The sequence below is a fragment of the Homo sapiens genome, chromosome 12, assembly GCF_000001405.40.
Source record: "Homo sapiens chromosome 12, GRCh38.p14 Primary Assembly".
NCBI lineage: Eukaryota > Metazoa > Chordata > Mammalia > Primates > Hominidae > Homo > Homo sapiens.
In genome coordinates, this window is record NC_000012.12 from 104,138,683 (window position 1) to 104,160,974 (window position 22,292).

Here is a 22,292-nt window from a genome sequence, read left to right on the forward strand (position 1 = left end):
GCGGGGGCCTCCTGGAGCGCCTTCAGCGCCTCGTGTTTTCTTTCCTTGGGTCCCTGTTAGCGTCGCCGCATGCACAGCGCTCCCTGTCATTTGGTCCCTGAGCTTGGGTGTTTTTCACATTTCATCTAAAGATGCAGACCCCTGCTAAGTCTAGCCAGCCTTCACCCTGAATCTTGAACTTAAGATGCTGCATTTTCCACCCACCCCCACCCCTCTAGTAGCTGCAGATTGACAAGCGGCTTTTCCCAACCAGATGACATTTTGGCTGCAAGAATCCGTGGCCCGTTCTTGCCTCTGTGCAGCCAAGCTCCTTCGCTGTCTTTCTCAAACTGCAGTCCTGAGTTCAGCTTCGCTTAGCAGTGACCATCCCAGAGGTGGGTAATCCAACACTGGATCCACTCACTGCAACCGGAGCTGGGGATGGCATGCCCTCTGCTTCCACTAACCGAGTGGCCTGCACCACATTAAACTCTCCAGCTTTGATTATGTAAAAATACAGAGATCTTTTATTTATAGAGTTCCTACTGTTTCTCAGAGTATTTAAACATTTCTGCGGCAAGTATGGAAGAAAAGACAAATGAAAGCCCCAAATTGTGACAAGAGGAGTAAGTAGCAATGCCACTGTCATCAGACAACCTGACTTGAATTCCAACTCCCCTTCTTACAGGCTTGTGATCTTGGCCAAATGTCTGCTTCTCAGGGTTGTTTGGGATAATGTATACATAGAAAGCCCTTTAAAAAAAAAAAGTTATCCCAGCACTTTGGGAGGCCGAAGCAGGCCGATCACCTGAGGTCAGGAGTTCGAGACCAGCCTGACCAACATGGCGAAACCCCGTCTCTACTAAAAATACAAAAATTAGCCGGGCGTGGTGGTGGGCGCCTGTAATCCCAACTACTCAGGAGGCTGAGGCAGGAGAATCGCTTGAACCCGGGAGGCAGAGGTTGCAGTGAGCCGAGATCACACCATTGCACTCCAGCCTAGGCGACAGAGCAAGACTCCATCTCAAAAAAAAAAAAAAAAAAAGTTATCCTAAGATCTTTATATAGCATGAATTTCTTCAATCTCCATCAAACATTTAAAAGGTGTTATTTGCTTAGAAAAAAAAAAGGAAAAATTGGCCTGAGTTTAATTTCTCCCTTTCTCTATGCTTACCCATAAAGTGGAGATTAAGGAGTGAAATGATGTGTTCAAAGGTTCAAAGGCAGGAAATATAAAGTAATAGAATTGGGAGAAGGGGCTGGGCATGGTGGCTCACGCCTGTAATCCCAGCACTTTGGGAAGCCAAGGCAGGCCGATCACCTGAGGTCAGGAATTCGAGACCAGCCTGACCAACATGGAGAAACCCCGTCTGTACTAAAAAATACAAAATTAGCCGGGCGTGGTGGCGCATGCCTGTAATCCCAGCTACTCGAGAGGCTGAGACAGGAGAATCACTTGAACCCAGGAGGCGGAGGTTGCGGTGAGCTGAGATCGCGCCATTGCACTCCAGCCTGGGCGACAAGAATGAAACTCTGTCTCAAAAAAGGAAAAAAAAAAAAAAAAAAGAATTGGGAGAAAGATGACTAATCCTTCTCCCAATTCTGGATGGTGAACCAAAAGATGCGAAGATGACTACTTTTCTGAGTTAATAGTTTATCATTTCAGTACTGTGGATCTAAACTATGTGCTTAATTCAAATTCCACTAAAAGGTAATATCAGCTCCTACATTCTGCAGGCATTGTACTAGGAGCCCAAGGGCTACAAAGGTGAATGAATCACTCTCCTTACCCTGAGGAGCCAGAACTCTAGGAGAAATGGAACCCGGTCCACATCCCCTCTGCAGTTGGATCCTAGGTCATCCTGCCTTAACAACCAACCTGTGTTCTCTGTTTCTTCTGTATCTATTTCAGGAAGCCCCCAATAAATGTTAACCACTTTTCTGATGACTTGGTGAAAGAGGAAGGCCAAGATCATAATTTAGTCTTGGAAAAAACACTGCAGCTAACCTAGTCTTTGCATTCAAAGTCAGAGACAGGTAATTGAGTGTCTTTATTTCGAGTCTGTACACCACAGCTGCCAGTTAGTTCATATCGCCATTTCTCTAGGCGTCATAATTAAGCAAACAATGAAACAGAATCCCTGGCCCCATGAAGACTTCACAGTTTTTACTTCATCACTTCAATGAGGTCTCGTAAAATTCCCATGAGGACAGGGTCTAGTAGAATATTGTCTCCACTTCCACCTTCCTGATTCTTCTCTTGCTCCACTCTTCTCAATCCATTCTATGCACTGAGGCCTAGAAGGATCTGGCTTCAGCTTCCCTCTCCCACCCGGCTTGTGGCTCTTCCTCAACCCTGACCTCACCACCTTCTAGACCCACTGGCCTATGCATTGCTCCTCACACACGCACCAGCCTTAAGATCCTCACTGGCTTCTTTTCATCACTGAGGTCTTGCCCCTTCAATGAGGGACTTCCCTGATCCCTTCTTCTTAAGTAGCCCCGCCCAGTTACTCTCTATCCTGTCATCCAGCTATATTATTCTATGTAAAAGTAAATATGATATTTGCTCCAATACCCTTAGCCTAACTGGATTATCTTGTTTATTTGTTGGCTATAAGTACATATATCTAAAATGGAAACAGGCCAGGCTCAGTGGCTTATGCCTGTAATCCAAGCATTTTGGGAGGCTGAGGAGGGTGGACTGCTTGAGCTCAGGAGTTTGAGACCCGCCTGGCCAACATGGTGAAACCCTGTCTCTACAAAAAGTACAAAAATTATCTGGGCATGGTGCTGCATGCTGGTAGTCCCAGCTACTCAGGAGGCTGAGATGGGAGAATCACTTGAACCCGGGAAGTGGACGCTGCAGTGAGCTGAGATTGCATCACTGCACTCCAGCCTGAGTGACAGAGCAAGACTCTGTCTCAAAAAAAAAAAAGGGAGAAAACACTTCTCATTGCCCATACTACTACCACCATGGTTCAAGTCACATCTCCTGAAAGGATTTGGATGTTCTAGCCAAATCTCATGTTGAAATGTAATCCCCGGTGTTGGAGGTGTGGCCTGGTGGGAGATAATTGGATCATGGGGGTAGCTTTCTCATGAATGGTTGAGCATCATCCCCTGGATGCTGTCCTCGAGATACTGAGTGAGTTCTCTTGGGATGTGGTGGTTTAAAAGTGTGTAGCACCTCCCCCTCTCCCTCTTGCTCCTGATTTTGCCTTGTGAAGTTCCTGCTCCCATTCTGCCTTCCACCATGATTGGAAGCTTCCTGAGGCCTCCCCAGAAGCAGATGCCAGCCTTATGGTTCCTATACAGCCTGGAGAACCGTGAGCCAATTAAACCTCTTTTTGTATAAATTACATAGTCTCAGGTATTTCTTTACAGGAATGCAACAACAACCTAATACATCTCTCATCAGGGTGACTGCAGTGACTTGTCTCCCCTCTTCCACTCTGGTACACAGCAGCCAAGATTTCAGATCCTCTGAAAATATAAGTCAAATCCTGTCACTCCACTGCTCAAAAATCCCCTATTAACTCCTCATTTCTCTCAAAGTAAAAGACAAAGACTTTCCAGTGGCCTTGTAAGACAGAGTGGCAAGTTCCTTCATTCCAAATTGAGCAACAAAAAGATACTGATTGTTCTTTGGTCATAGTGACAAGAAACAACCAGAATCTGTTTTAATCAATCAATAACAATCTCCTGATCAGTGACTTGCTTCTGAAAATTAGCCAATCAGCAACAGCCACACTCTAGTAATCCTTCTTCCACATCTAAAGTTCAACTCATCTCTAAACAGTCCAGCTTCTAAGAGTTCCCCAACCTCCGAACCCCATGCTTCCCAAAACACTGTATAAGATTCACAGATTCCTTTGTTCAGAGACACTGTCTTACAAGTACTGCTGTCCTCTGGTTAGCAAGAAATATGTTCAGCACTTAATTGTTGCAGACGTGAATGGTGGCCTCTTCACTGGGCAACAACCTATGGGATCTTTGATCTATTCCCTTTCCGCTCCCCCTCTACCCTCATCTCCTCCTACCTTTTCCTTTGCTAATTGCACTCCTTGCAGTCCTTATTTCTGCCAGGAATGCTCCTGCCTCAGGGGCTCTGCACTGGCTGTTCCATCTGCCTAGTACATTCTCCCTCAGATAGCCACATAGCTCACTCCCTCACCTCCTTCCATGTCTTAATGGGGCCAGCCCTGATCACTTATCTAAAAATTGCAATTCCAACTCCCTACCCCCACTCAGCTATAACCCTCTAACATATTATATAGTTTCCTTATTTGTTATGTTTATGATTTATTGTCTGTCTCTTCCCACTAAAATGTAAGCCCTATGAGGACAAGGAATTTGGCTTGTTTTGTTTACCAATGCATCCCACACATCTAAAATAGTGTCCAGCATTCAGTTGGTACTCAATATTTGTTGAATGAATGGACTTTGAATGTTTCACCTTTTTAGAATATAAACTCCTTTAGTGCAAAGACCTTGTGTTCACCATTGTATTCTCAGAGCCTAAAACAGTGCCTGGCACATAGTAGGGGCTTCATAAGTATGTACTAAATGAATGCATGCACAGGTATGGTATAAAATTGTTTTAATTGATAATATAAATGACCCTGAGATTACCAAAGCCTTATGTGCCATCTTCCTCCACAGAAACACAGTTAATGAACACATTTAAAATTCCTCACATTATTATGATGTGTTAATCAAAAAATCCAAAACATATTCATCACTATTTCCCCAGGTATTGGGTAAGTTAATATACAAAGATGACTAAAAAATCCTTGATCAGCTTGAAAAAGCAGCAAGATCACTCTCGTTTCTAGGGCTGCTGAGGCTGAGGACAGGAGGAAATCCTTGTCTCTGATAGGAAAGAAGGGCAGAGAACATTCTTTTCTCATTTCCTTTATTTTTTTGCTTAAACTCTTGGGTCATTTCCAAACTGGTGTCCCTGTCCATTTAATATAACATGGCCATATTAATCTTCCTGAAAACTTGTTTTCTTAATCCTACATATGAATGCCAGGTCATAGAAAACATAGTTCTTATTGTGTTGTTACCTTTTAAAAAAATCATGAAAACAGCTCTCATCTATTATATAGTTACTACATATCAGGAACTCTGCTAAATGCTACCTGCATGTTTTCTCATTTCAGCCACACAATGACCTTATGAAATAGGTGTTATTTGCCCAACTCAAAAGACATGAAAACAAGCTCATAGTTTAAGAAACCAAGAAGTCACACAGCTGGAAACCAAGCCTCAAACCTGGCCCCAGTCCCTCTTATAAAAAAAAAAAAAAACTATTTATTCAAAGGGTCCCCATAGACTTTTCTCTAAAGAAGATACACAGATGGCCAACAAGCATATGCCAAGATGTTCAACATCATTAGTCATAAGGGAAATTCAAATCAAACCACAGTGAGATATCACTGCACACCCACCTAGATGGCCAGAATCAGAAAGATCGATAGTAACAAGTGTTGTCAAGGATATGGTGAAACTGGAACCTTCACACACTGCTGGTGGGAATGTAAAGTGGTACAGCCACTGTGGAAAACAGTCTGGTTGTTCCTCAAATAGCTAAACATAAAAGTTACCATTTGACCCAGCAATTCCACTCCTGGTGTATGCCCAAGATAAATGAAAATATATATCCATACAAAAACATATACATTTATGGCAGCTTTCTTCTTTTATTTTTATTTATTTATTTATTTCGAGACAGAGTTTCGCTCTTGTTGCCTAGGCTGAAGTGCAATGGCACGGTCTCAGCTCACTGCAACCTCCACCTCACAGCTTCAAGTGATTCACCTGCCTCAGCCTCCCAAGTAGCTGGGCAAATATGATATATCAATGCAATGGAATATCATTTGGCCATAAAAACAAATGAAGCTCTAATATATGCTACAACATGGATTAACCTTGAAATCATTATCTAAGTAAAAGGAGTCAGACACAAAGGACCACAGATTATATGATTTCATTTATATTAAATATCTAGAATAGTCAAATCCATAGAGAGAGAAGGCAGATTATTCTTTGGTGGGGGGCTAAGGGAGGAGATGGGAGAGCCCGAGGTGTGATAGCTAAAAGGTATAGAGTTTCTCTGTGAGGTGATGAAAATGTTCTAAAATTGTGAGGGCCGGGCACAATGGCTCACACCTGTAATGCCAACATTTTGGGAGGCTGAGGCAGGCAGATCACTTGAGGTCAGGAGTTCGAGACCAGCCTGGCCAACATGGTGAAATCTGATCTCTACTAAAAATACACAGATTAGACGGGTATGGCAGCAGGTGCCTGTAATCCCAGCTACTTAGGAGGCTAAGTCAGGAGAATTGCTTGAGCCTGGGAGGTGGAGGTTGCAGTGAGCCAAGATTGCACCACTGCACTCCAGCCTGGGCAACAGAATGAGACTCCATCTCAAAAAATAATAAGAAAATTTTTAAAAAATTGTGAGGATGGTTGCACAAATCTGCGAGTATACTAAAAAACAGTAAATTGTACACTTTAAATTTGAAAATTGTGTGGTATGTAAATTATATTTCAATAAAGCTTTTACCAAAAGGATCCTACCTTTTCGTATATGTTCATATCTTTTTATATGTGAAGCACACACAAATTGATAAGCAAAACACTAAATTCTAAGCAAAACACTAAATTCCCAATAGAAAAATGAGCAAAGCACATAAAATAGAAAACTCATAAAAGAAAAAATACAAATGGCTAATGAACATGTGGGCAGGGAAAAAGGTTCACCTCAAAGACAAATTAAAATGGGGAAACCTAACACATAAGCAAATAATTTTACAGCAGAGATGAAGATGAAGATGTGATAAGATGGATGTTCTTTTTTTTTTTTTTTTGTAGGCATGAGGTTTCACCATGTTGCCCAGGCTGGTCTTGAACTCCTGGACTTAAGCAATCCTCCTTTCTCAGCTTCCCAAAGTTCTGGGATTACAGGCATGAGCCACTTCACCCAGCCTGAGATAGGTGCTCTTATATGCTGATAATGGGAGAGCTTTCTAGAAAGCAGTGTGTGCTTTGGCAGCTTTTAAGGCATTTATATTCGTCTGTTCTCACGCTGCTGATAAAGACATACTGAAGACTGGGTAATTTATAAAGGAAAGAGGTTTAATGGACTTACAGTTCCACATGGCTGGGGATGCCTCACAATCGTGGCACAAGGCAAATGAACAAAGTCTCGTCTTACTTGGCGGGAGGTGAGAGAGCATGTGCAGGGGAACTCCCCTTTAAAAAACCATCAGATCTCGTGAGACTTATTCACTATCATGAGAGCAACACAGGAAAGCCCCACCCCTATGATTCAATGACCTCCCACTGGGTCCCTCCCATGACACATGGGAATTATGGGAGCTACAATTCAAGATGAGATTTGGGTGGGGACACAGCCAAACCCTATCAGTGTTCTTACACACCTAGTCAAAAAAATCTATCACAGGAAATCATTTGTAATACAGGTAATAAGTAATAAGATATTCATAACAACGCTGTTAACAATAGAAACAATTGGGGGAAAACTATGTGGTAAGCAAACTAAAATGGCCCGAAGGCTCTGCACCTCCTAGTATTCACACCTTTGTGTATTGTCCTCCCCTGGGGTATGGGCTGGACTTATCGACTCACATCTTTTTTTTTTTCCATTTTTATCTATTTATTTATTTTGCTTTTCTCTATTTTTCTTCTATTATATAGGTATTTTAGGCTTTTCCTTTTTAAAATTCTCTACAACTATTATGATTTTAAGAAGGGGAAGAGTTAGAAGCATTTACAGACTTTTCACAACAATGACCCTGCCTGGTAAGTCCCTTTTTTCCCCTCCTTGTTTTCTCACACTTTGCAGTTAATGAGTTTTAAGATTTGTGTTGCTTTCCCCAAATATCCACCAATTTGTTCATCTTAACAGCTCCATCCAGACATAGAATACAAAAAACCATAGGAAAGTGTCACAGCACCTCTCAAAGTTCATCAAAGCGCCTCTCAAATTATCAAAGAACTATTATCTTGCTGTTTGAAAGGCAGTGACAGGTTGTTTTTCCTTTTTTTAAATTTTTTTATTACTTTTTTTGTAGAATCGCTCTAAGCTGTGTCAAGAACAGCCACGAGACAGGAAGGAGGTTGTCCTCCATTCCCCCTCCATTTGACACAGGGCTACACATAGAGCTGCCATAAAAAGTCTGGTCCTTTGGTCCCTAAATAGCTGAAAGAACGACAGATAGAGATGCTCAGTGGCCTCCCAGCTATCCCCTGTGGACCAGGCCTGCTTCAGGTGCTTGTAGGCTGGAAAAGCAGCCTCTCCTACCAGTTCCCAGCCCTTCAGCCTCACGTCTGGTCTCGTGTTATTTTGTTTTAAAGTTGCTATGTGTGTGTGCGTGTGGGTTTTTTTTCATTTTTCTTCATCTTCTTATTTATGTCATACATATTCCCCCAAATATGTGACCTCTTAACTCCATAAATGCTCTTTTTCTTGAAGAAATGTTAGAGTCACACAGACAGTGTCTGGAGTCTTCAGCTTGATTGATATCGGCTAATATGTCAAGGGTGTCATCCAACAGTTCTCATTTATAAATAGAGAGAGATTTGTTTATTTATTTAATTTGGTTTGAAGTTCCGATATACATGTGCAGGTTTTTAAAGGGAGCCCGTTCAGCATCCTGCCCTGTTCGAGTCCTGCTCTCCCGCGGGAGATGCTCCCACGGGTGCTCAGTCCAGGCAACTGGTGCCTTTGGGCCGCTTCAGCTGCACCTGGAGCCTCTTCATGCTGACCTGGAAGCCGTTCATGGCCTGGATGGCGGTCTGCACGCTGGCCGGGTTGTCGAAGCTCAGGAAGCCTGTGGGTGGAGGAGTTTATTGGACACTGTCCTCCCTGACAGGAGGGGGCCTGGCAGCTTGAGGGCACAGGGTGTCGGGCTGGGGAGAGAGAGGAGTGCCAGGGCAACTCACTCCTAGTGAATGAAATTCAGCAGGCAAAATGGGAGGTCACTTCTAATATTAGATTACAAAATAACCATGAATTCCATCTTGGGTCACCTTTCTCTCTCTCTCATTCTGTCTCACTGTGTGTGTGTGTGTGTGTGTGTGTGTGTGTGTGTGTGTATCTCTATATCTATTGATCTATCTGTAGATAGATCTATATATTTATATATTTATATCTATAGTCATATAGAGGGATATAGATATGTATAGATATAGATAAATAGAATAAGGAACTGATGTCTCCAGCCAACAGCCAGCAAGAAGCTGAATTCTGCCAACAGCCAAGTGAGCGAGCTTGGAAGTGGGTCTTCCTCTGCCTGAGTGTTGAGATAGCCACAGCCCAGCTGATAGCTTGATTGCAGCACTAAAAATCCCTGAGCCAGAGCCACTCCCAAATTCTTGGCCCGCTGAAACTGAGATAGTATTACTAAATGTTTGGTGTTTTAAGCCATTGAGTTTTGGGGTAATTTGTTACACAGCAATAAATAACAAATACAACTTCATTGTCTAACAATTTGAAATGATTAGAAAACATGTCATAAAATAGAATATTGTCCTGCTATAAAAATATTTTCAAAGAATTTTTTAAAACATGGGAAGATGTTGAGAATAAAGCAAACTATAAAGAGATACAATATGATCCCAATTCATATATATAGGAATACTTACAGAGAAAAACTGCAAGCAAATATGTTGAAGGTCAACAGTTTTCTCTGTAAAACAGAATAGGTGCTCAATGCATTCTTGTTGATTTCAGTTAAGAACTCATTCATTTGGTCCATTTTTATTGAAAATCTGCAGTGTGTCAGCCAGGCCCTGGGGAGACAACGGAGACAAAAAACCAAGTCCCTGCACTCATGGAACTTACTTCTTGGTGAGCTCTCCTGATGGTTTCTTCTATAGCAGTGGGGATGGAGGTGGAAAGATGGAGTGCAGTGAATGGATTGATGATACATTTCAGGGGTAGAACATTTTGGTGCAAAAAAGGAATAAGGCCAGGTGGCTCACACCTGTAACCCCAGCATTTGGGGAGGCTGAGACAGGCAGATCGCTTAAGCCCAGAAGTTCAAGACCAGCCTGGGCAATATGGCAAGACCCTGTCTCTACGAAAAATTTAAAAATTAGCTGGGCATAGTGGCACGTGCCAGTAGTCCCAGCTACTTAGGAGGCTGAGGTGGAAGGATCACTTGAGCCTGGGAGGTTGAGGCTGCAGTGAGCCATGTTCACATCAGCCTGGGCAAAAGAGCAAGACTTTATCTCAACAAAAAAACAAACAAACAACAACAACAACAACAACCAAAAAGGGAATAGTGAAGAAATGGGGTTTACTCTTAGGTGGTTGGTTTGGGTAATTTGAGTGGATGATAGGATGGGCTGTGGAGTAGACTGTTTGGTTTTGTGAAAGTTGTCAAAATCAAAATGGAGTCACTAATTTTAAGAAAACCCTAAGAAGTTATCTCTTTCTTCATGGCAAAGTCCATGAAGAAAGGATCTCCTGCTTGTGTACCTGATAACAAAAAAGACTCCACAAAAACTACAACCTTGCCCAAAAAGTGTTTCTGCAAGATCATCTGTCCAGCAGCTGCCTGTCCAACCTTGGACCAGTATCACCCTTGTTATTGATCTTTGTAGCCAAAGACAATTATTTCAAAACAATTTTGTAATCCTTCTCATTTTTTTCTTTAGAAACCTTTGTCTTCCTTTACCTCCCTGAACACTCACATAGTTTACAATGGCATGTGTTTTCCCATTGCAGTGCTCTATTCCCAAACATCATCTTCTTTTAGAGGGCCCCTCTCTGTTTGTTATTTAGGTTGATAAATTAAAATCCTGCTGCTACTAATTACCAGCTGAGTGATCTTGGGTCCACAGGCTACATAATTTGTGTGCCTCAATTTCCTCTGCAAATTGATGACCTTCCTCATCCACTTTGCAGATAACAAGGTAATTCACAGAGTTGTTGAGAGGCATGAGTTAGTATAAAGATCTTCAAAGAGAGCCTCGCACATTGAAAAATAGCTAAGATTATTAGCCATTATTATTATTGCTTTACAACTGTTGAGATGAGGATTACTAAAAAAGAAATCAAAATTAAGAATGTGAGTATTTAAAAAGTGTAGTTATTAATTTTTCTCTATTACAGTAGAATCATGCCACCTATTAAAGTTTACCTAGTTTAGCAGTTATGGGAGTAATTGATATACTATGTGATAATTAACACTGTGGATTAGAGGTGCCCAAAGGAAGGAATAAAAGAGCAGTAAATTTTAATAAGGACTGTAGGAAATACCCTAGAAGGAAAGGGTGCTGAGGCAGGCTGAGCCTGGAGGGGAAGAAACTGCAGAGGGAAGTGGAGGAGAGAAAATGGGGGGCCAGAGACATCCCTTCCACCTCTGAAGCCAGGGTGACTCCTCAGGCTGTTCAGTGGCTCCAAGCACTGAAAAGGTGACGATGCCATATCTACCCCTATGTAATTCAAAATAAAAAGGATGCTTCACTGTAGAGTATGTGGATAGAAGTCCCACAAAGCTCTGGCTTTTCTCATGATGGACAATTTTCTATGTTTCTCAATATCAAATTCTTTTTTAAAAAAATTCCTTGCTTTGCTGATCCCCAAGCACATTCTTGGTTTGCTTAATCTGTAATCCCACCCAGAAAGTTGTGGCAACTGACTCCTCAGCCCTTGCCATTTGCTTGGCTGACTCCTATACACCCCTCAGATAATTTAGCTTAGCTATCACCTCATCCAGGAAGCCTTCCCTGATCCTCCAAGACAAGGTCTTGTAGTTATCTCCATCTGTCTCACTAAAGCAGGGGTCCCCAACCCCTAGGCCATGGACTGTTAGCGGTCCATGGCCTGCTAGGAACCAGGCTGCACTGCAGGAGGTGAGTAGCGAGTAGGTAAGCAAGCGAAGCTTCATCTGTATTTACAGCTGCTCCCCGTCGTTCACATTACTGCCTGAGCCTCGCCTTCTGTCAGATCAGCAGCAGCATTAAATTCTCATAGGAGCGTGAATCCTATTGGAACTGCTTATGCGAAGGATCTAAGTTGTATGCTCCTTATGAGAACCTAATACCTGATGATCTGTCACTATCTCCCATCACCCCCAGATGAGACTGCCTAGTTGCAGGAAAACAAGCTCAGGGCTCCCACTGATTCTACATTATGGTGATAATTATTTCGTTATATATTACAATGTAACAATAATAGAAATAAAGTGTACAATAACTGTAATGCATTTGAATCATCCTGAAACCAACTCCCCTCCCCAACCACCACCATCCGTGGAAAAATTGTCTTCCATGAACCTGGTCTCTGGTGCCAAAAAGGTTGGGGACTGCTGCACTAAAGCACATTTCCCTGTGAAATTAAATTCTTTTTTTTTTTTGAGACAGGGTCTCTCTCTGTCTCCCAGGTTGGAGTCTAGTAGTACGATCATGGTTCACTGCAGGCTCAAGTGATCCTCTCACCTCAGCCTCCAGAGTAGCTGGCACTACAGGCATGTACCACCATGCCTGGTTAATTTTTTTTTAATTATTTTTTGTAGAGACAGAGTCTCCCTATATTCCCCAAGCTGGTCTTGAACTCGTGGACTCAAGTGATCCTTCCACCTTGCCTTCCCAAAATGCTGGGATTACAGGTGTGAGTCACTGTGCCTGGCCTGGAATGTAAATTTGTGGAGAGCCAGACCATATCTGTCTTTTTCATCCTTGCACCCCCTGTGCCTAGAACAGTGCCTGGCTCAAAGCTGAATAAAAGTGTACTAAATGAATAAATCATTGAAAGAGTAATCCCACTCCACCCCACCTCCCCTGATTCCTTCACCTCCAACAAACACCTAGACAGAGTTATCCCACAGGCTCGGTGTAGGTCACTCCCACCTGTCTCCAGAGCCCTTACACTTCTGCTGCCTCAAAATCAGAGATCTTCCCACCTGTATGCCTCCAGTTCCACACTGATTGAGTTTAATGAGAACCCATTCAAAGGATAAAAAATTATAAGCACAGACAGAATTTCCACAACTGAATTTTCTGAGCCTAGGTGATAAAGTTGAAAAAACAAAGCATTTACGACCTCACTCTGAGGGGGTCTCTGAGTTTTATGAACTATTAAGTAAAGGATTTTCTGCAAACTGCGTCTTCCCAACTTGGCACAATCCTGTCTTAATCACTTTCCCAAATAGGGTTTTCCTGGCTGGAAATGCTCCCCCCACTTTGTTTGCCTATAATCAGTCACAGATTCAACAACAGAATTGCTAAGAAATTATTATTATTATTATTTTTTTGAGATGGAGTCTCACTCTGTCGCTCAGGCTGGAGTGCACTGGCATGATCTCAGCTCACTGCAACCTCCGCCTCCCGGGCTCAAACAATTCTCATGCATCAGCCTCCTGAGTAGCTGGGATTACAGGTGTCCGCCACCATGTCCGGCTAATTTTTATGTTTTTAGTAGAGACGGGGTTTCACCACGTTGGCCAGGCTGGTCTCAAACTCCTGACCTCAAGTGATCTGCCCACCTTGGCCTCCCAAAGTGCTGGGATTACAGGCGTGAACCACTGCACCCAGCAGGAATTGCTAAAAAATTCTTGAGACCATCTAGCTCAAAGGTTACAAACTCCTATCCAGTTGCCTTTGTAGGCAGCATACTTATTTTTATTTCACCTATACAAGTCTGGGGGGTTTCTACCCCAAACTTTGAGAGGGATTTAAATGTATTTTGGGGAAAGCCATGGCTTCTTTCCTTTCCCCCAAGCCCCACCACCAACCCCTGGCTTCTACCAGGCTATTTCTCAGTTTATGTTACCAACCTGGCCTCTGATGACAGATCTGAGTTTTGGCCACTGAGGCGGGTTCAACCTCCAACCCATTCCAAAAATTCCTTCCCCAGCTGTCTCATGTAGGGATGTCCTTGCCTTCCAAGCCCAGTTCAAGTCCCAGACCTCCTCTGGGAGACCCATCTCTATTCCCAGCCCCACCTTGCCTTTTCCTGCCTTTCCCTTCCGTTTTTCATGTTGTTACTGGTGCCCACATCACAGGTGCAGAGACAGTAAACTCTGAAGAGGCCTGCTGCTGTTTTTCATCCAGAATAGGCTTCCCCCTTCTTCTGGGAAATGTACATTTCCCTGACTCTAATTGTGAGGTTCCCATGGGAACAGAGAGCAGACCACTCTCTTCTGACAGATCCCATCCCCTTGGCCCCTGGTGATTGGTGTAGGATTGGGCACCTGATTCAAGCCAGGGCAGACATGAGCCTCTACTGCCCCACTGGATACAGTCTTTGAACCAGGCCAGAACCCTTACCCAGGGTTTGTAAACTTGACCCCAGGGAGAGCAAGAGTCAGTCCCTTTCTGGTATCAAAGCTGGGTGGAGCTGCCCTGGTGGCTGTTGCTTGACTTGCCACCAGTCCTGGGGAAAAAGCCAAAACACTAAGAGAATAGCAGAAAGGAGAAACAGAGGAGAGACTCTGCAGAATTCAATCTCTAGTTCTCCATTTTGTCTAAGCTAGTACTGGTTGTATCCCATGTCAGGTATGGTCCCAGACATAATAACTAAAAGAGAAGTTAGTTTCATTCATTGTGATACTGCTTGACATCTCCTGTCATCTGAGTTAACATATATCACCTCTGGCCGGGTGCAGTGGCTCACACCTGCAATCTCAGCACTTTGGGAGGCTGAGGTGGGTGGATCACCTGAGGTCAAGAGTTCGAGACCAGCCTGGCCAACATGTGAAACCCCATCTCTAATAAAAATACAAAAATTAGCCAGGTGTGGTGGCACACTCCTGTAATCCCAGTGGAGGCTGAGGCAGGAGAATTGCTTGAACCTGGGAGATGGAGGTTGCAGCGAGCCGAGATCGTGCAACTGCACTTCAGTCTGGGTGACAGAGCGAGACTCCGTTTCAAAAAAAACAAACAAACAAACACATATCACCTCTTAGATAATATGCAGTGCAAAATAAATTATTGCAAGGCTTATAGTTAGTGACACAAGCCTAGGATCCCAGAGAGAACCCAGGATGAGAAGTACGCAGAACTTGAGGGACACAAAAGAGGACTTCAAAAAGGGGAGACACTTCTGAACTAGGCTTTACATTTTTAAGATATTCAGCTAAAAAAAATGGTTTTTTACATTTTATGGCACTAAAATAGAGCTTTTACAGGACACCTGATCATTTAGAAAACTATTAGGTAGGTGGGGCATGGTAGCTCATGCCTGTAATCCCAGCACTTTGGGAGGCCATGGTGGGAGGATTTCTTGAGCCCAAGAGGTCGAGGCCACAGTGAGCCAAGATTGTGCCACTGCACTCCAGCCTTGGCAACCAGAGTGAGACCCTGTCTCAAAAAAATCAAAAAAGGCCAGGTGTGGTGGCTCATGCCTGTAATCCCAGCACTTTGGGAGGTTGAGGCAGGCAGATCAAATGAGGCCAGGAGTTCAAGACCAGCCTGGCCAACACAGTGAAACTCCATCTCTACTAAAAATACAAAAATTAGGTGGGTGTGATGGCACATGTTTGTAGTCCCAGCTACTCGGGAGGCTGAGGCACAGGAATCTCTTGAGCCTGGGAGATGGAGGTTGCAGTGAGCTGAGATCACGCCACTGGTGACAGAGGGAAACTGTCTCAAAAAAAAAAAGAAAGAAAACTATTATGTAGAAACCCTACCTAATATGAAAAATGAAAGAAAAATGAAGGTGAGTAGCAGGGCAAGAGCAGGAAATGCTGGGTGGGGAACAAGAAGGACTGTGATTTGGACCACGATAAGGTTGCTCACTGAGCAGCGGAAAGTTCTCTAATGGGCAGATCCAAGGGGCGGTTCAGCTTGGAAGGGCTTCTATGAGCAGAAGTGGCCTAAAGACTGTTGTGCTGGCTCTCCACTTCCTCATATTTCAATTGTTGCTCTAGACCAGAGGGCAGCAAACCTTCTTTCAGGGGCAGATAGTAAATACTGTAAACTTTGCATTGCGACAACTCTGGGCATGGTGGTGTGCACCTGTATTCCCACATCTTACACTAAATTGATTCCAAATGCCCTATTCATGGCCCTCTTGCCTGACAGCTGCCTCCACTACCTCCAACAGTGGCAGAAGTCAGTGGCCATGTTTGTTTAAGGATCTTAGCACTGTAATCATAGCAGGCACTTATAAAAATAATTGTCAATATAGTCAATAGAGTAGAATTCTCTTGTGAATACAGCACACACCTGTCTGCCCAGCATGCCTTTTCACTCTTCTTTCGGTGACATTGCTCTCCTTCTTTGGGGATAATTGCTTTTCCCCCACCTCCAACTACATGATCCTAGAGGGTGCAGCCAATCCTATTACACGGTACTTGACACAAGCCAGGCTGATTACAGTACCTCACCTCCCCCAGCCACAGGGATTAGCTTGAGGAGTGGGCCAAATCAGGCCAAATAGGATCATTCTATTGGGTTTTAAAATCTAGATCTAGTGGAAGAAAAAGCAAACATTTACTTTGCTCCTAGGTGACAAAGTCATGATGTGACCCAGAATTCCCAACAGATACCTCCCTTGAGATATAGAAAATACTTGTCTACATAGGAAAGGTAATTGAGAGAAATGATGGCAGGGGGAAAGGGGGAGGTGGGGGGAGTTGAGGAAGGGGCACTTAATCCCTGAATATCCCTGAGCTTCTCTAGTTCCTCTTTACCTAAGGCTGAATTGTTGAGCTTCAATTCTGAGAACTACTCTAGTATCCAATAAGTCACTCTTATCTTTCTTTTTCTTCCCTTCTGTAAGTTTGAATTCAGTTTCTGTTGCTTGCAATCAGAGTCTCAGTGAATATATAAATTGTCTGGGATCTATTTTGGTTTTGCTTGAAGAGCATTTCGGGAATGAAAAGCCTGCAGTTTGGGAACAAACTTCAAGAACCAGTCATTTTCAAGAGGACAGTAGAAGAGAGAAAAAGTTTTAAGTAAGAAAGAGTGTATTTGTTATCCCTTATAATAATAATGGCCTGTCATTACCTATGAGGTGGGTATTATCTCTATTTTACAGGAGAGAAAACTGGCTCAGCAAACCAAACAGCTAGAAAATGACAGGTTGTGAATTCGGACATGTCTGATTTCTTAAACATTTCACCAGGCTAAAATATGTTCCTGGTATGAAAGGAAAACTATCCTTTAATCTAATATATTTTCAGAAAATACCTTAAATCTAATGTTGGAACTGGAAATTCCTGCTCCATATCCCTCATTAATAGTTAGTTAACTACACATGCATTCATTCGGAGACATCCGTAGGAATTACAGCAGAATCTACTGACTCATTCATTCCTGGTACTCTGAAAGAAGTTCAGATAATTTATCTGGCAGGAGCCAGACCTGGGAAAAGGCCCATTCAAAAGTCTATCTGAAGATGTATACACCTACTATGCACCCACAACAATTAAAATTTAAAAAAAATTTTTTAAGTGTACCTGAAGGCAAAACAATGAAAAAATTCTTACCTGTCTAGGGCAGGGGTTGGCAAACTACGGCCTGCAGCCCCGCTGCCTGTTTTTGTAAAGAAAGTGGTATTGGAACACAGCTACATCTTTCATTTATGTATTGTCTTTGCTGCTTTCCTGCTACAATGGCAGCAGAGTTGTTGCAATGCAAAGTTTACAATATTTACTATCTGCCCCTGACAGAAAAGGTTTGCTGCCCTCTGGTCTAGGGCAACAATTGAAATATAAGGAAGTGGAGAGCCAGCACAACAGTCTTTAAGCCACTTCTGTTCCTAGAAGCCCTTCCAAGCTGAACCGCCCCTTGGATCTGCCCATCAGAGAACTTTCTGCTGCTCAGTGAGCAACCTTATCGTGGTCCAAATCACAGTCCTTCTTGTTCCCCACCCGATGTTTCTTGCTGTTGCCCTGCTACTCACCTCCATTTTTCTTTTTCCATGTCCATAGCCCAGGTGTAAATCTTACCTCTGCCTCCTACTCCCTAAGGCGGTGGTCCCTAACCTTTATGGCACCAGGGACCAGTTTCATGAAAGACCATTTTTTCCATGGACAAGGGATGGGAGGGATGGTTTTGTGATGATTCAAGTGCATTACAGATATTGTGCTCTTTATTTCTATTATGATTACATTATAATATATGATGAAATAATTATACAACTCACCATAATGTAAAATCAGTGGGAGTCCTGACCTTGTTTTCCTGAAACTAGGTGGTCACATCTGGGGATGATGGGAGACAGTGACTGATCATCAGACATTAGATTCTCATAAGGAGCCCACAACCTGGATCCCTCACATGCGTAGTTCACAACAGGGTTTGTGCTTCTGAGAGAATCTACAGCCCCGCTGATCTGACAGGAGGTGGAGCTCAGATAGTTCCTAACAGGCCACAGGCTGGTACCAGCCAGTGGCCCAGGTATTTGGGAACCCTGCCCTAAGGCATCTATTCACCTCTGCCCAGCCCTGTGGCCTCCTCCTTCTTCCAGCTGCAGAACTCAAGCCCTACCTACTCTTGAGTTTGGCCAGTGAGGAGAGGTACCAACAGAACAAAGAAGAGAAGAAATCAAGGTTGGGTGTTTATTTCCCTGGCTTCTTCCTGCTGGGCTGCTGCCTCCCCCTACCCAAGCCTGTAGCCCTGGTGGGGCCACCCCCAACTCCCCTACTCTCCATAGACTCTGAAATGCATCCTTCCCTTTGCTTTCTCACACTTGGGTGTCAAGTGGTTTCTGGCTGTTGTTACCGTAAGGAACTACACTGGCTCTTACTGGTTTTCCTAAACCTGGTCACATCTGTGTAATAGTCCCTCTATTAGTTATCAATTGTTGTGTAAAGTATTACTCCCAAAACTTAGTGCCTTAAAACAGCAAACATTGGCTGGGTGCCGTGGCTCATGCCTGTAATCCCAGCACTTCAGGAGGCCGAGACGGGTGGATCACCTAAGGTCAGGAGTTTGAGACCAGCCTGACCAATATTGAGAAACCCCATCTCTACTAAAAATACAAAAAATTAGCTGGTTGTGGTGGCGGGTGCCTGTAATCCCAGCTACTCTGGAGGCTGAGGCAGGAGAATCGCTTGAACCCGGGAGGTGGAGGTTGCAGTGAGCCAAGAATGCTCCACTGCACTCCAGCCTGGGCAACAAGAGTGAAACTCCATCTCAAAAACAAAAACAACAACAACAAAAAAAACAGCAAACATTTATTATCTCACACAGTTTCTCAGGGGCAAGAATCTAATAGCAACTTTGCTGAGAGGTTCTGGTTCCAACTCTGTCATGAGGTTTTGGTCAAACTGTTTGCCGAGGATGCAGTCATCTGAAGGCTTGAGTGAGGCTGGGGGATTCACTTCCAAGTTTTCTCGCATGATTGTTGGGATCTTCCCAGTACCATGACAGTACCTTCTCAGTACCTTGACACAGGGGGCTCTCCAAAGGGTTTCTCACAGTGCAGCTGGCATGAGACAGAGTAACCAAGACGTATTTTATAGCCTCATCTTGCAAGTAGCATTGACAAGGTAAAAAAATCAGTTATTCTTATATGTGTGGGTCTGTTTCTGGACTCTCTATTCTGTTCTATTGCAGTATTTTTCTGTCTTTATGCTGATACCACACTGTCTTTTTTCTTTTAACTTTTCTTTTCTTTTATTGAGACAGGGTCTCACTTTGTCATCCAGGCTGGAGTACAGTGGCAAAATCACAGCTCACTGCAGCCTCAGCTTCCTGGGCTCAAGCAATCCTCCTACCTTAGCCTCCAGGGTAGCTGGGAATATAGGTGCACACCACCATACCCAGCTAATTTTTTTGTATTTTTTGTAGAGATGGGGTTCTGCCATGTTGCCCAGGCTGGTCTCGAACTCCTGGGCTCAAGTGATCCTCCTGCCTCAGCCTCCCAAAGTGCTAGGATTACAGGCATGAGTGACCACACCCAGCCTTCTTCTTCAACTTTTATTTTAGAATCAGAAGGTACATGTGCACATTTGTTACAAAGGTACAGTTCATGATACTAAGGTTTGGGGTATGATTGAACCCATCACACAGGTAACAAGCATAGTACCCTACAAGTAATTTTTCAGCCCTTACCCCTTTCCTTTTCTCCCCTCTCTAGTAGACATCAGCGTCTATTGTTCCCATCTTTTTTGTTTGTTTGTTTGTTTGAGAGAGTCTTGCTCCATCACCCAGGCTGGAGTGCAGTGGTGTGATTTTGGCTCACTGCAACCTCCACCTTCTGGGTTCAAGCGATTCTCCTGCCTCAGCCTCTCGAGTAGCTAGGACTACAGGCATGTGCCACCAGGCCCAGTTAATTTTTGTACTTTTAGTAGAGACAGGGTTTCACCATGTTGGCCAGGCTGGTCTTAACTACTGGCCTCAAGTGAACCACCCGCCTCAACCTCCCAAAGTACTCAGATTGCAGGTGTGAGCCACCACGCCAGGCCTCTGCATGAATTTTAGAATCACTTTGTCTTTTTTTTTTCTTTACAAATAGCCTGCACTAATTTTCATTAGCATTAAATTAACAGCAATTTGGAGAGAATTGACATCTTAATAATACTGAGCCTTCTGACCTATGAACATAGTATATCTCTCCATTTGTTAAAATCATCTTTATCTCAGCAATGTTTTATAGTTTTCACTGTTTAGGTCTTGCAATTCTTTGTCAGATTTTCATAATTAAAAAAATAATTGGAGTTTATAAGGAGAACTAGCTGGAATGATCATTTTAATTTTGAAGTAGGTGAAGAACATTTCTATTTGGTAGGCACATTTATTTTTATATTTTCCTCTTATATCAAAAATTTAAATACAGGCCAGGCACAGTGGCTCATGCCTGTAATCCCAGCACTTTGGGAGGCCGAGATGGGCAGATCACTTGAGATCAGGAGTTTGAGAACAGCCTGGCCAACATGGCAAAACTCTGTCTCTACTAAAAAGAATACAAAAATACCCTGTCTCAAAACAAAAATTTTTTTTGATTAAATACAGATTCAAGGGCAACTGTAGGTCTTATTTTGCAAAGTATATGAACATTCACATTCTGAATGCAAGGAAGGACAATGACATCTACAACAAAATTGTTCATTTTCTCAAAGTGCAAAAGCAGCTCACATGGTTAAAAATTCCATTTTTTTCCATGAACATTGCTGCTGCATTTTACACATGAATAACTGGAATTATGGTTCCTTAGCTTAAGAAGACTGTATTTCTTGATGAATGTAATATTTTTCTTTGCTCACTCAAATTTTATACATGAGAGGATTAAATATTAACATACTACCATTCTTCTAAATAAAACATTTTAAATGTATTTAAATTAGGTATACAGGAGAGTGGGATTACAAGACCGAATGTTTAATGTGAAAATTGTAGCTATCTGTTTTTACTTAATTGAGTGAGTTTAGAATAGCAGTGGCCGGGCATGGTGGCTCACGACTGTAATCCCAGCACTTTCAGAGGCTCAGGCGGGCGGGTCACCTGAGGTCTGGAGTTCGAGACCAGCCTGACCGACATGGAGAAACCCTGTCTCTAAAAATACAAAATCAGCTGGGTGTGGTGGCAGATGCCTGTAATCCCAGCTATTTAGGAGGCTGAGGCAGGAGAATTGCTTGAGCCTGGGAGGTGGAGGTTGTGGTGAGCCGAGGTCATGCCATTGCACTCCAACCTGGGCAGCAAGAGCGAAACTCTGTCTCAAAAAAAAAAAAAGATTAGTAATATCACTCATTCTTTGTAAAGTTTTTGTTGTTGTTGTCTTGGGTTTTTTGTTCATTTGTTTGTTTGTTTTACTGTAACTTATTTTGCTTCAGCCATTAGGATCACAGAAAATTACCAGGGTCTTGGGCTGTCCTGAGATTTGAAAGTCCAGAAGACTTAAATTTTCATAATTTTTTAATCTATTGAAAATGGTATTGTTTTTCTAATTTTAGTGTCTGATTGTTCATTGCTAGTACATAGGAATTTTTGTAGAAATAGCTTGTATCCTGCAATTTCACTTATTTTAGTAGCTTTTTTTGTAGACGCCATTGGGTTTTCTACAAGAATGATCATGTTATCTGTGAATCAACACAATTTTACTTCATCCTTTTTGATATAAATACCTTTTATTTCTTTTCCTTGGCTAGAGTCTTCAGTATAATGTTAAGTAGAAGTGGTAAGAGCAGACATTCTCCCCTTATAACTAATCTTAGGGGGAAAACATTTAGTTGGTAGCCATTAAGTTTGATGTTACCTGTAGGTTTTTGATAAACACCCTAGAGCAAGTTGAGAAGTTCCCTTCTACTCCTACTTTGGGGAGATTTTGTTTTTGTTTTTATTTTTAGACAGGAACCTCCCTTACCCAGGCTGGAATGCCTTGG

The 22,292-nt window shown here is 42.9% G+C and overlaps 1 long non-coding RNA gene across 1 annotated transcript, besides 6 other annotated features; it reads left to right on the forward strand.

Moving 5' to 3' along the window:
* Window positions 96–265: an enhancer, noted in NCBI's record as "experimental_23735 CRE fragment used in MPRA reporter constructs". NCBI's record gives its function as "activates a minimal promoter by MPRAs in K562 erythroleukemia cells, with activity observed for both the introgressed and non-introgressed 12:104532641 variant alleles {active_cell/tissue: K562}" and the evidence as "EXISTENCE:reporter gene assay evidence [ECO:0000049][PMID:34662402]".
* Window positions 1,549–9,903, forward strand: LOC105369947 (uncharacterized). Its single transcript, XR_945286.2, has 3 exons — window positions 1,549–2,016; window positions 7,708–7,812; window positions 9,790–9,903. It is a non-coding gene; the product is annotated as an uncharacterized LOC105369947 (long non-coding RNA).
* Window positions 15,866–16,035: an enhancer, noted in NCBI's record as "experimental_23741 CRE fragment used in MPRA reporter constructs". NCBI's record gives its function as "activates a minimal promoter by MPRAs in K562 erythroleukemia cells, with activity observed for both the introgressed and non-introgressed 12:104548411 variant alleles {active_cell/tissue: K562}" and the evidence as "EXISTENCE:reporter gene assay evidence [ECO:0000049][PMID:34662402]".
* Window positions 16,103–16,272: an enhancer, noted in NCBI's record as "experimental_23744 CRE fragment used in MPRA reporter constructs". NCBI's record gives its function as "activates a minimal promoter by MPRAs in K562 erythroleukemia cells, with activity observed for the introgressed 12:104548648 variant allele {active_cell/tissue: K562}" and the evidence as "EXISTENCE:reporter gene assay evidence [ECO:0000049][PMID:34662402]".
* Window positions 17,115–17,284: an enhancer, noted in NCBI's record as "experimental_23747 CRE fragment used in MPRA reporter constructs". NCBI's record gives its function as "activates a minimal promoter by MPRAs in K562 erythroleukemia cells, with activity observed for the non-introgressed 12:104549660 or rs61939200 variant allele {active_cell/tissue: K562}" and the evidence as "EXISTENCE:reporter gene assay evidence [ECO:0000049][PMID:34662402]".
* Window position 17,200: a transcriptional cis regulatory region, noted in NCBI's record as "Neanderthal adaptively introgressed variant 12:104549660 (GRCh37/hg19 assembly coordinates) or rs61939200 in the experimental_23747 CRE". NCBI's record gives its function as "modulates activity of the experimental_23747 enhancer by MPRAs in K562 erythroleukemia cells {active_cell/tissue: K562}" and the evidence as "EXISTENCE:reporter gene assay evidence [ECO:0000049][PMID:34662402]".
* Window positions 21,871–22,040: an enhancer, noted in NCBI's record as "experimental_23754 CRE fragment used in MPRA reporter constructs". NCBI's record gives its function as "activates a minimal promoter by MPRAs in K562 erythroleukemia cells, with activity observed for both the introgressed and non-introgressed 12:104554416 variant alleles {active_cell/tissue: K562}" and the evidence as "EXISTENCE:reporter gene assay evidence [ECO:0000049][PMID:34662402]".